This window comes from Homo sapiens, chromosome 19, assembly GCF_000001405.40.
Source record: "Homo sapiens chromosome 19, GRCh38.p14 Primary Assembly".
In the NCBI taxonomy this organism is placed as follows: Eukaryota; Metazoa; Chordata; class Mammalia; order Primates; family Hominidae; genus Homo; species Homo sapiens.
The window spans coordinates 9,007,173-9,021,123 of NC_000019.10; the positions used below are offsets into that span (position 1 = coordinate 9,007,173).

At 50.9% G+C, this 13,951-nt stretch overlaps 1 protein-coding gene and 1 pseudogene across 2 annotated transcripts in view; one reads left to right on the forward strand and one right to left on the reverse strand.

Annotated features, from left to right (window-relative positions):
* MUC16 (mucin 16, cell surface associated) overlaps positions 1 to 13,951 on the reverse strand; it is a gene marked incomplete in the record, with an annotated part of 216,908 nt that overhangs the window by 158,329 nt on the left and 44,628 nt on the right. The window contains 1 exon segment of one of the 2 annotated variants that reach the window (NM_001401501.2): positions 3,097 to 3,237. Within the exon segment in view, the coding sequence (NP_001388430.1) occupies positions 3,097 to 3,184 (88 nt within the window). 2 annotated transcript variants of the gene reach the window in all.
* Positions 12,158 to 12,984, forward strand: BOLA3P2 (bolA family member 3 pseudogene 2; annotated as a pseudogene).

Sequence of the window (13,951 nt, forward strand, 5' to 3'; positions counted from 1 at the left end):
CACTACACTTCAGCCTGGGCGACAGAGTAAGACACCGTCTCACAACACACACACACATACACACACACACACACACAGAGAGAGAGAGAGAGAGAGAGAGAGAGAGAGAGAGAGAGAGAGAGAGAGAGAGTACACCCAGCCAGGCCTGCCCCTCTTGGACCCATTGTCTTCCTTTGCTACCCAGCAACTGGGAAGAAAGGTAACTCTCTCTCCAGGATTGGAGGAAACAGTAAGCAAACCTTTCTGCTTTTTGGTGAACCAAAAGTGGTGAAAGATAAACTGTAACTCTGGCAAGGGCAGGTTAGACCAGGAACCCACCTCACAGTTCCACCCATGCCCACTACACACACCCACTCCCACCAATGCCCCCTTCCCTTCATAATCCAACTCCCTTAACTTCATATCCCCCTGGCCAGGCCTGGGCTGGGACAATGACCACTGTTCAGGGACCCAGGAAGGGGCTCAGCAGCGCACAATGAGATCTGCCTATGTTCTGTGTCTTCACAGCCCTTCTCCTGGGACGGGCAGTACAGAACTCATTTCCTCGGCGGTGTGGGGGGACTCACGTACCCAGAAACTGCCAGGAGAGGAGAAATCCTCAACCTTCAGTCTCTTCCCAGGCAAAGGATAAAAACCAGCATTTAGGAATCATCCAGAAACTGGAGTTGGAATCCTGGCCGTGTGACTTTAAACAAAAGGCTTAAGCTCTCTGAGCCTGTTTTCTCTTCTGCAAAATGGGGGATAACGGTGCCCCTGTGTTCACCCGTCAGGCAGGTTCAACGGAGACAACACATGTAAAGTGCAGGAACATATTACATAGAAGGTGGATCCTATAAAATGATGGTGGGCCGGGCGCAGTGCCTCACGCCTGTAATCCCAGTACTTTGAGAGGCTGAGGCGGGTGGATCACCTGAGGTCAGGAGTTCAAAACCAGCCTGACCAACATGGTGAAACCCCCATCTCTACTAAAAATAGAAAAAAAAAATTAGCTGGGCATGGTGGCAGGCACCTGTAATCTCTGCAACTCAGGAGGCTGAGACAGGAGAATTGCTTGAACTGGGGAGGCAGAGGTTGCAGTGAGCCAAGATTGCGCCACTGTACTCCAGACTGGGCGACAGAGTGGGACTCTGTCTCAAATAAATAAATAAAATAAAATGATGGTCACAGAGGTCCTTTGGGCTCTTGGAGTTTCTCAGCCACAGGGTGGAGGGAGAGGCAACTGGGAGATGGATTTCTCCAGCTCTGGAATTCTTCTAAAAATTGCTCTTTGGGGAGATGGAAATTCAGAGAGGTTAGATGTCTGGCTCAAGGACTCACAGCTTGCCAGCAGTGGGCTCAGATTTACGGCCAGGGATTAAGAGAGTCTTCTCCAGTGTTTTATGTCAAAAATCCCGCATGGTGTCTGGACTGACTCCAGGGGAATCCCTTGGGAAGGGACTGATGTGGCCAGAGGGGTGATGGGGATGGGGAGGGGTGTCAGCCCAAAGCCCAGTCCTCCCTGAAACAGGAGCAGGGTCTGCCCAATGCAAACAGCCCCCGGCATCAGACCCTGAGTGAACCTTGGGGACAAATGCAGTAAACAGCCTCTGTTGGTGGTGACCTGCTTTGAGTACAGGTCAGGGGGACACGCCCCACTGGAGGTGGTGGGGTTGTCCTATACAAACCCGCCCACCATTCAGGCCATTGTGTGGAGGCCTCACAATGGTGTCCAACCACAAAGCTCTCCCTCCGTCCCCGACTGCCCGGCCTCGGTGACTCAGGGCTGGGGGACTGGGGTGCCTTCCTCACCTGCTTCTCAGGCTAGATCCGGGGCCCGAGTAGGGAAGGGCATGGGGGCAGGTGAATCACAGTCTGTCTGCATCCAGGGCACCCCCCCTCCCCGGATGGAGGAGGTGGATGGGCCTCCCCCAACCCCAACCCCTTGAGGCCCCTCGTGGCCTCCGTTTCCAGGCCAAGCTGTGAGAAACAGTCCTTCCTCCTCCTCTGAGTAAATGAACAGACATCTGAGCACCCAGCTCATTATAGATCTCCTCTTCTGCAAGCCTCAGTTCATCTTGCACACGAGGGCTGTTTGGTGAAAAAGCCCCAACTTCCTGCCCTCGGAGGCAACCGGAGTAAAATAAGTTCTGGGTGGGTTTGGGCAGTCCTGGGTTCAGGTATGAACAATCTTGAAACTTCCCTGTAGGGAAGAGAGGCTGGCTCCCTTAAGCCCGCAACAACACACAGAAACACCAAGCTGGATGCCAGCCCTTCCCTGAGCCCAGGGTCTTTTCTCTGGGCAGTAATGTCCAGGCTAATCTCCTAAAATGACCAACAGTTCTTGAAAGACCCCTTTGGACCCAGGAACATGCCTCCCACAGCCCTCCCACGCTGCGTTTCTGCTTCCAGTCCTTCCCTCGGTATCTCCCCATCACGCAGCCCAGATACATGCAGCTCACAGGAAAGGACCCAGATACGCCTGATGGCTCCCTGCCTCCTAGTCCATGCCTACTCCGTCCCCGCTGCCGGGAACGCCCTTCTCTTTTGCTCCTAAGTGTGCCTGTAAAATTCCAACCCTGTGCAATTCAGATGCCACCCTGCAGTTTAAGACCCCTGCCCCCACCGCCACCACCCTTACCCCATCAATGCCTCTTAGCAAAGTTCCTGCTCAGCCCTGTACCCCGACTGACTGGACGCCCCAGTCTCTCTCGCCCACCAGATCGGAGCTCCTGGAACCCTGCGGCGGCGACTTGCTCATTTCTGTCCCTGAGAGCTGGGCACAGATACTGGGACTGGAGGTGCCGCTAAAACCCCCTCAGGGAGTGAGTGTGTGAGTGAGTCGGTGATGGAAGGAATCCTTGGGTGTTTCCACACTCATCTCGGCAGATACTCAATTCACAATACAGCGGTTTTGTGAACTCGCCCACGTCAGTCTGGTAAATGCAGATTCATTGGGTCGGGCTGGAGGAGGCATTTACAGAAAAGCAAAAGCAAAAGCAAAAGACCTCCTGGCTGTCCCTGCTGGGGCTTAGGAAGCACAAATCACCTGTCATACCAGCCTCTCTCCTATATGAATCCGTCCAGCTCCTCAGTGAGCCCCAGCCCAGTCCCACTTACCTGGCCAGCAGGTGAGGAGGAGGCTCACGGCCAGCGCTAGCAGGGGCCTGCGTCGGTGCCCTGGGTGTGCAGGGCCCTCCCGGCCCATCCTACTGCCTGCCCAGGCTGTGCTCCTCACCCCCCGAGAGAGTCCCTGAGACTGAACCCAGCCCAGTCTGGCCCCGGCTGCAGGGAGGGTGGTGAGGACACACCTTGCTGAGCTTCTCAAGAGGGGCAGGGCTTGCCCTAGAGGGAAGCAGTGGGTGCCTTCCTGGCAAAGGTCAGCTGGCATGATTCAGTGCACTCAGTGACTGACACCTGCAGGCTGATACCTTCCGAGAGCAGCGGCCCGAGGGAGCCCCCACCGCGGACAGAGCCTGACTCCAGAGTCTGTTGCCAAACTGGGGGTCCCTCTGGGCTTGAAGGAAAACAGGGACCCAGGCATAGACCTGTCCCGTTCTCCAAAGTCCCCAGGTTCTACCTGACCCCCTCCTGCGCAGGGACTGGCACCGCCAGACTGGAGCTGGGTGGACCCTCCTTGGGGGAGGCACAGCTGCCTCTGGAGGGTTTTGGAATGTTCAGGAGTGTACGCGAGGCTGCATTCCCACATAGGAACTCCCTGGCTGCCAGGGGAGCTGAGGGCCGGCCTTCTCGTACCCTTCCAAAGCCCCACAGAGCCACACCCGCTATACTCCTGCCGCGCTCTGAGTCCTACAAAACCACCTCGGGGCTGCAGTCCCTCACTCCCCGGTCAAGCTCTTCAGCTGCCCTTGACAGCAGCAGAGAGGCAAGGAAGGGGCTGGTGTGGGGTACAGGGAGGGGATTGGGGGTTCTTCCTCCTCCTCACCAGCCCTGCAATCTCCACCAGCTTCTTCTCACCCCAGGCCTGGGTGATGACAATAGTCATTTCAGAAGTAGGCTCTTCCCCCTCAAATCGGCCCAGCACAGATTGCAGGGTGATGTTTTTTAAGTACCATGCCCCTCAAGACACCCCCCTGCTGTCCCCCTTTGTCCAGGCACTCAAGAGACCCCCCACCCCTCTAGCCTCTAACAGTCAGAGGAAGTGGGTTTATCATCACCCATATCACCCATCTTTTTTTTTTTTTTTTTTTGAGATAGAGTCTCGCTCTGTCACCCAGGCTGGAGTGCAATGACGTGATCTCGGCTCACTGCAACCGCCACCTCCCGGGTTCAAGAGATTCTCCTGCCTCAGTCTCCCGAGTAGCTGGGATTATAGGTGTGCGCCACCACGCCCAGCTAATTTTTGTGTTTTTAGTAGAGATGGGTTTTTGCCATGTTGGCCAGTCTGGTTTCGAACTCCTAACCTTAAGATCCACCCACCTCGGCCTCCCAAAGCTCTGGGATTACAGGCATGAGCCACCGTGCCCGGCCTGTCATCACCCATCTTCAAGATAAGGAGACACCTGCAGGTGCCCAGTGTGAAGGAGGCAGGCAGTGGATTTGGACCTCAGCGTGCCAGACACCCCCACAGGGCCAACCACTTCTCCTGGGTCTTGTACCTGGAGCCAAACTCCATGGCCCTGTGGCTGGGCTCATGGCCCAGGGAAGTCTGTCAGCAACCCCTGGGGGCTTATGCTCTGTTCAATTTCCTATTAACCGTTTCTCTTCTCTCCTTGCTCTGTAGCCCTTCCTCTCAGCATAGACATACCTTGAGCCCCAGGAAACACCCTGGGCAGGCAATCTGGCCAAAACAGATAAATGAACAAGTACAGGTGATCAAGCTGGAAATGAGAGGTAGGTGGGAGATGCCAAACCCAGACTGGGAGGGGGCAGGGAATCAGGGAAGTCTTCCTGGAGGAGGTGGCACGTGCATCAAGATGGAAAGATAGGCTGGAGTCCTCCAGACCAGGGGAGATGGAGAGAAGGGAAGGGAAGGGAGTTTCCCAAGGAGGAGACAGTGGCTGGAAGCAACAGAAAGGAAAGCTGGAAGGGGAAAGTTGAGCCTAAGTTTTGTCCAAACTCCCACCCTAGTTCTCTCTCAAGGTACCCGTCCCTCACTTAAGAAAAATCATCGCAGAGAAACAGAAGGCAAGCCAGTGAGTTTTCTGGGCAATCACTGTATTCAATTTCGCCTACCTCAGAGATGGGAAAACTGGGCCCCTAAAAAGAGTATCACCTGTAATCCCAGCACTTTGTGAGGCAGAGGCGGGTGGATTACCTGAGGTCAGGAGTTCGAGACCAGCCTGGTCAACATGATGAAACCCCGTCTCCACTAAAAATACAAAATTAGCTGGGCATGGTGGTGCACGCCTGCGATCCCAGCTACTTGGGAGGCTGAGGCAGGAGAATTGCTTGAACCCAGGAGGTGGAGGTTGCAGTGAGCGGAGATCGTGCCATTGCACTCCAGCCTGGGAGACAATAGCAAAACTCCATTTCAAAAAAAAAAAAAAAAAACACAGAGCACCAGAATCTGCAAGATCAGCGACAGAACTGGAAACAGGCCCCAGGACTCTGGAGTCCACAACCAGTGCTCTTCCCGAGTAAGCAGTGCAAATCCTCTTTCTCTAGCACACAGCAGCAAGTATCCCTAAGCACCATAGTACATCATGCCTTAGGTCCAGGGGTCGCCCATTCTTATAAGGAGTGCATCTGGGAAAATGGGTTTAGATTCCAGATAGGTCATTAGAGCTCCTGGTTTTTGTTTTGTTTTGTTTTGTTTGTTTTGGTTTTTGTTTCATTTTGTTTTGTTTTTTGGGGATGGAGTCTCGCTCTGTCACCCAGGCTAAAGTGCAATGGCATGATCTCGGCTCACTGCAACCTCCACCTCCCGGGTTCAAGCGATTCTCCTGCCTCAGCCTCCCAAGTAGCTAGGATTACAGGCATGCATCACCATGCCTGGCTAATTTTGTATTTTTTTTTTTAGTAGAGACAGGCTTTCACCATGTTGGCCAGGCTGGTCTTGAACTCCTGACCTCAAGTGATCCACCCACCTCGGCCTCCCAAAGTGCTGGGATTACCAGCATGAGCCACTGTGCCTGGCCCTGTTATCCTAAATGAATAACCCAGGGACAGAAAATCACGTTCTCACTTATAAGTGTGAGGTAAACAACGGATATGTATGGATGTGAAGATGGGAACAAGAGACACTGGAGGGTACTACAGGTGGGAGGCAGGAGGCGGGGCTAGGGCTGAAAACCCACCTATTGAGTACTATGCATAGTATCTGGGAGACAGGTGCATTCGTACCCCAAACCTCAGCGTCATAGAATATACCCATGTAACAAACCTGAACATAATTTGTACCTCCTGAATCTAAAATAAAAGTGGAAATTATAAATAAATAAATAAATAAATGTTTTTAAAGTATGTTTTAAAAAATTAGGCCGGGTGCAATGGCTCACGCCTATAATCACAGCACTTTGGGAGGCCAAGGCAAGTGGATTGCTTGAGGCCAGGAGCTCGAGACCAGCCTGGCCATCAGGGTGAAACCTCATCTCTACTAAAAATGCAAAAAAATTAGCCAGGCATGGTGGTGCACGCCTGTAATCCCAGCTACTCAGGAGGCTGAGGCAGAAGAATCACTTGAACCTAGGAGGGGGAGGTTGCAGTGAGCGAGATCCAGCCTGGGCAACAGAGTAAGACTCTCTCTCAAAAAAAATAAAATAAAATAGCCTCTGACTGTTGGTGGTAATGTAAATTAGTTCAGCCCCTATGGAAAACAGTATGAAGATTTCCCAAAGAATGAAACATAGAACTACCATTCAACCCAGCAATCCCACTACTGCTCAAAGGGAAAAAAATCTGCCCAAAGGAAAAGAAATTGTCTTATCTAAAATACACTTGCACCTGTATGTTTATTGCAGTACTATACACAAAAGCAAAGTTGTGGAATAAGTGTCCATCAGTGGATGAATGAATAAAGTAAATGTGGTAAGTATACGCCATGGAATACTATACACCCATAAAAAAGAATGAAATCATGTCCTTTGCAGCAACATGGTGGAGATGGAGGTCATTATCCTAAGTGAAATAACTCAGAAACAGGATGTAAAATACCATGTGTTCTCACTTAAAAGTGGGAGCTAAACAATGAGTATACATGGACACAAAGATGGAAATAATAGGCACTGGGAACTCCAAAAAAAGGGAGGGTAGGAGGAAGAGTGAGGGTTGAAAAATTACCTATTGGCCGGGTGCGGTGGCTCATGCCTGTAATCCCAGTACTTTGGGAGGCCAAGGCAGGTGGATCACCTGAAGTCAGGAGTTCGATACCAGCCTGGCCAACATGGTGAAACCCCATCTCTACTAAAACTACTAAAATTAGCCAGGCATGGTGGCGCATTCCTGTAGTCGCAGAACTCGGGAGACTGACGCAGGAGAATCGCTTGAACCCGGGAGACGGAGGTTGCAGTGAGCCGAGATCACACCATTGCACTCCAGCCTGGGCAACAAGAGCAAAACTCTGTCTCAAAAAAATTTTTTTAAAAATTAAAAAAAAACTTGGATGATGAAATAATTTGTACAACACACCCCCGTGACATGAGTTCACCTTTGTAACAAACCTTCCCATGTACCCTTGAACCTAAAAGTTTTTTAAAAAAGGAACTGGGGGAGAAGTGTACAGATTTCTGGGTGCTCTCTTCTCAAAGGTCTGCCTGCCCCTTGTGGGAAAATGGAGAGGACCACAGCAGAATCAAAGACGAAGCAAGGCAACCTCTGTCTCCTGCTATCCCCAGACTGACCCGGCCTGAGCCAGCTTTGCTTATGTGATAACATCGCTAGGGGCAAAGAAGAGACGTCAGGGCTGGGTGGTGCTGGCCGAGTGAGACAGAGGGCTGAGGGACGCTGCTGAGTAGAGAAAAGGGAGAGAGATAAGTGGCGGAGACAGAGGAGGCAGGGTCAGAGAGCAGGAGGAGAAACCCACAGTTATCACTAAACAGCAAGGTGCAGTGGGGTTTGTTTGTCTGAGCTTTTTTTTTTTTCTTTTTTTGAGACGGAGCCTTGCTCTGTCACCCAGGCTGGAGTGCAGTGGTGTCATCTCGGCTCACTGCAACCTCTGCCTCCTGGGTTCAAGCGATTCTCCTGCCTCAGCCTCCCGAGTAGCTGGGGTTACAGGCACCTGCCACCATGTCCGGCTCACTTTTGTATTTTTGGTAGAGACGGGGTTTCCCCATGTTGGCCAGGCTGGTCTCGAACTCCCGTCCTCAAGTGATCCACCTGCCTCAGCCTCCCAAAGTGTTGGGATTACAGGCGTGAGCCACCGCACCCGGCCAGGGAGTGGATTTCAATGGCACGGGAGAGTCTCCCAGGGCAAACATCATGGAAAAGGTGGAACTAGAGGAAACTCAGAAAAGCTGTTGGCATTTCTTAATAAGATGGGGGTTTCCACGTAGGAGAACAGACCAGCCTGGATTGTCAGGCTTAGAAGTCACAGGGGACACTGGGCATGGTGGCTTATGCCTGTAATCCCAGCACCTTGGGAAGCCGAGCCTAGAGGATTGCTTGAGCCCAAGAGTTTGAGACCAGCCTGGGCAACATAATGAGACTCCATATCTACAAAAAATAAAATACAAAAATTAGCCAGGCATGGTGGTGCTCACCTGTAGTCTCAGCTACTCAGGAGCCTGAGGTGGCAGGATGGCCTGAGCCTGGGAGGTGGAGACTGCAGTGAGCCAAGATCACACCTCTGCACTCCATCCAGCCTGGGTGACAGAGTGAGACCTTGTCTCAAAAAAAAAAAAAAAAAAAAAAAAAGCCAGGCATGGTGGCTCATGCCTGTAATCCCAGCACTTTGGGAGGCCGAGATGGGAGGATTGCTTGAGGCAAGGAGTTCGAGACCAGTCTGGGCAATATAGTGAGACCCCATCTCTCTAAAAAAAAAAAAAAAAAAATCACAAGGGAATGACAGGGGAGCTGGAGGTAGTCTAGGTTCAAATCCCCACAGTAGAAGAAATGAACATGACCCTAAAAGTGTTTACCGAGAACTTAGTGTTTCCCAGGCATCCATCCGCGAAACCAGAAGAAAGGACACTGACATTAAATCACAGCATCCACAAATGACGTGAGTTCAATATTTTCTCTGAGCCACGCCCTTCCCAGAAGTGAATGGCTCTTCATTCTCGAGGTTTCTCTGTGAAGTGGTGCGTTTCATTGACCCATTTTACAGTGGTGGAAACTGAGGCACAAAGAAATTACATAACTCACACAAGATTGCACAGCTGGGCCCTGTATGTTTCCATTTGCAATGTGTTCAAGGACAGGCAAGAGGAATTGAGGGGAAAGAAGCCAAAAGAGTGTTCTGAGGTGGAGCGTGATGTCTCATGCCTGTAATCCCAGCACTTTGGAAGGCTAAGGCGGGCAGATCACGAGGTCAGGAGTTCGACACCAGCCTGGCCAACATAGTGAAACCCCATCCCTACTAAAAATACAAAAAAAAAAAAAATTAGCTGGGCATGATGGCGTGCACCTGTAATCCCAGCTACTCAGGAGGCTGAGGCAGGAGAATTGCTCGAACCCGGGAGGCGGAGGCTGCAGTGAGCCAAGATTGCACCATTGCACTCCAGCCTGGGAAACAGTGCAAGACTCCACCTCAAAAAAAAAAAAAAAAAAAAAAAAGGGTGTTCTGAGGATGGGGGCACTGTCTGTCTGGAAAAGGGGTTTGAAGGAGCTTTCTACAGCAGTGGTTTTCTTTTCTTTTTTTTTTTTGCGACGGAGTCTCACTCTGTCGCTCAGGCTGGAGGCAGTGGCGTGATCGCAGCTCACTGCAAGCTCTGCCTCCCGGGTTCAAGTGATTCTCCTGCCTCAGCCTCCCCAGTAGCTGGGACTACTGGCGCCTGCCACCACACCTGGCTAATTTTTTGTATTTTTAGTAGAGACAGGGTTTCACCGTGTTAGCCAGGATGGTCTTGATGTCCTGACCTCGTGATCTGCCCGCCTCGGCCTCCCAAAGTCCTGGGATTACAGGCGTAAGCCACCGCACCCGGCCAGCAGTGGTTTTCAAGTGAGGGCAATTGTGCCTCCCAGCTGCCATTTGGCAACGTCTAAAGATGTTGTTTTAACTGAGAGAGAAGGGGTGCTACTGGTGTCTAATAGGTGGAGGCCAGAGATGCTGCTAAACATCCTACAACACACAGGACAGCCCCTTACAACAAAGTATTACCCAGCTTCTAATGTCAAAAGCGCCAAGGCTGAGAAATCCTGTTCTAGAAAAAATGGGCCGCAGGTGGCTTATGTCTGTAATCCCAGGACTTTGGGAGGCTGAGGCAAGAGGATCACTTGAGCTCAGGAGTTCGAGACCAGCCTGGGCAACATAGTGAGATGGCCCCACTAAAAATAATAAAAAAAAAAATTAGCCAGGAGTGGTGGTGCACATCTGTCGTGCCAGCTACCCTGGAGGCTGAGACATGAGGACTGCTTGAGCCCAGGAGGTTGAGGCTGAAGTAAGCCATGACTGCCTCGCTGTACTCCAGCCTGGGTGCTAGTATGAGACTCCGTTTCAAAAAATAAAATTAAAATTAAAAAAAATAATAGAGGAAGGGAACATTTTACATCGTGGTGTGCAATGGTTACACATATGTAAAAATTCATTGACACGCACTTAAGATTCAGGCATTTTGTGCACACTTTACTTGTGTCTGTTACATTGCAACAAAAAGTTGTTTTTTTTTTTTTTTTGAGACGAAGTCTTGCTCTGTCACCCAGGCTGGAGTGCAGTGGGCCAATCTCGGCTCACTGCAACCTCTGCCTCCCAGGTTTAAGTGATTCTCCTGTCTCAACCTCCTGAGTAGCTGGGATTACAAGCGTGCGCCACTATGCCTGGCTAGTGTGTGTGTGTGTGTGTGTGTGTGTGTGTGTGTGTGTGTGTTTAGTAGAGATGGGGTTTCACCACGTTGGCCAGGCTGGTCTTGAACTCCTGACCTTAAGTGATCCACCCGACTCAGCCTCCCAGAGTGCTGGGATTACAGGCGTGAGCCACAGTGCTCGACCCCTTCTAAGTAATGACTCGGCCCACTGCCTCACCTCTGTTCATGCCCTCATCCTCTCTCTCTGCCTGCCTTCCCGAAATAGCTTCTTTACTCATATTCATCTTCTACCACCAGCTCCACCCTCCTCCAGTTCCCCTCCGCCCGCCCAGCCAACAGAGTGACCTTTCAAAAATGCAACACCGGCCATGCCCCGCCCCGGTCCGAATTCTTCAGTGCCTTCTCACCGCCCTCGGGACCAAGTCCAAACGCTGCAGCCTGGCGTTGAAGGCCCACCTTGAGCCGGGACCCGGCCTGCATTGGACTAACGTATGACTTCGCTTCTCACCCCGAAGCCTTTGCCTCGGCCGTTCCCTGTGCCGGAATTACCCTCCTTCCCTTTACCTGATTCTGTGTCCCCTAATTCTCTCCAGGCCTCCCCTACCTCCCTCCCCAGACAGAAAGCAGAGCTCCCCGCCCTGTTCCCAAAGCACCTTGTAACTTCCTTGTAAAATCGTTTGACCACAGGATCGCGTATCTGTGTTTTCATCTCTTATAACTCTCTCTAGTGTGTGAATATGAAGAGGGTACCTGACTATGATAGGTGTGTCACACAGACAAAAAAAAAAAAGTTTGTTGAATGATTTATTCATATATTGACCATTCACCAGGGACCAAGCGCTGGGGATAAAGAGAAGGAACAAGGCCGGGCGCAGTGGCTCACGCCTGTAATCCCAACACTTTGGACGGCCAAGGGGAGCAGATCACCTGAGGTCAGCAGATCGAGACCAGCCTGGCCAGCATGGTGAAACCCCGTCTCTACTAAAGACACAAAAAATTAGCCGGGCGTGGTGGCGCATGCCTGTAATCCCAGCTACTTGGGAGGCTGAGGCAGGAGAATCACTTGAACCTGGAAGGCAGAGGTTGCAGTGAGCCGAGATCGGCCCACTGCACTCCAGACTGGGTGACAGAGCAAGGATCTCAAAAAAAAAAAAAAGAGAAGAGAAGAACAAGGCCGGGTGTGGCGGCTCATGCTTGTAATCCCAACCCTTTGGGAGGTTGAGACTGGAGGATTGCTTGAGCCTGGGAGGAGTTCAAGACCAGCGTGGGCAACATAGTGAGACCCCGTTTCTACAAAAAAAAATTTTTTTTTTAATTAGGTGGGCCGGGCATAGCAGCATGGAGCCCGGCCGCCGCAGCACCTCTGCTCCGCGATCCGTGGGCATCCTCTTCACTGTGTCCATTGGATGTTTGCCTCCCAGACTGAGGGGGAGCTCAGAATGACCCAAATTCTCAAAACAAGTTTCCTCACCGGGCGCGGTGGCTCACGCCTGTAATTCCAGCACTTTGGGAGGCGAAGTCGGGTGAATCACGAGGTCAGGAGTTCAAGACCAGCCTGGCCAACATGGTGAAACCCCGTCTTTACTAAAAATACAAAAATTAGCCAGGCATGGTGGCGGGCACCTGTAATCCCAGCTACTCGGGAGGGTGAGACAGAATCGCTTGAGCTTGGGAGGCAGAGGTTGCAGTGAGCCGAGATGGTGCCACTGCACTCCAGCCTGGGTGACAGAGTGAGACAACGTCAAAAAAAAAAAAAAAAAGGAAAAAAAGAAAAAAGAAAAGTTTCCTCGAGCTACAGCTATCAAAGTCACTGACATTTCAAGAGGTTGTGGGGTCATGTATGAAATTAAAATTGAATCAGAAGAAGTTAAGGAGGAGAGAACTATTCAGCAGCACCAAATAGTGAATCAGTCACTACAAGAAGAAATCAAAGTGATGCATGGATTGCGGATATTTACCTCTGTCCCCAAACGCTCAGCACACCCTGGCTGCATAGATGCTGCTGCTTAAGACCTTGGATGAACTTGACTGACACCATTCTTCCCTAGGCATTTACCAAAAAATTTGTATATTTTGCTCGTATACATTTCCATATTATAATTATAGAAGATGTGTAATCTATTTAGATGTTAATTAAAGGAAACAACGAAAAAAAAATTAGCCAGGTTTTGTGGTGTGTGCCTGTAGTCCCAGCTACTCGGAAGGCTGAGGTGGGAGGATTGCTTGAGTCCAGGAAATGAAGGTTGCAGTGATCCGAGATCGCACCACTGCACGCCAGCCTGGGCAACAGAGCAAGACCTTGTCTCAAAGGAAAAAAAGAGAAAAGGAGAGAGAGAGAGAGGAGAACAAGATTCAGGAGGCTGATGCTAGAGGATCTCTTTGAGGCCAGGAGTTCAAGACCAGACTGGGTAGCATCGTGAGACCCCATCTCTAAACAAATAAAAAACTTAGCCAGGTGTGGTGGCACCAGCCTGAAGTCCTAGCTATTTGGGAGGCTGAGACAGGAGAATTATTTGAGCCCAGGAGTTCAAGACCAGCCTGGGCAACATAGTGAGATCCTGTCTCTACAAAATAAAAAAATAAAAAATTTAGACAGGCACAGTGTTACCTGTAGTCCCAGCTACTTGAGAGGCTGAGAAAGGAGGATCGCTTGTGCCCAGGAGTTGGAAGCTGCAGTGAGCTATGATCACACCACTGCACTCCAGCCTGGGTGACAGGGCGAGACCCCATCTCTTAAAACAAAACAAACAAAAAAAGAGAGATGAACAAAGCAGATGCCTTGTATTTTCTGTACCCCTTTGTTTTGTTTTCATTTTTGTTTTGAGATGGAGTCTCGCTCCGTCACCCAGGCTGGAGTGCAGTGGTGCGATTGCAGCTCACTGCAACCTCCAGCTCCTGGGTTCAAGCTATTCTCCTGCCTCAGCCTCACTCCACTTCCCAGGTATGACAACCAGAATGTCTCCAGATATTGCCAACTGTCCCCTGGGGGCAAAATCTCTCCTAATTGAGAACCACTGATTGATGTCAATACCAAAGAGTCTTTTTTTTTTTTTTTTTTTGAGACAGGGTCTCACTCTGCCCTCCAAGCTACAGTGCAGTGGCATGATCTCGGC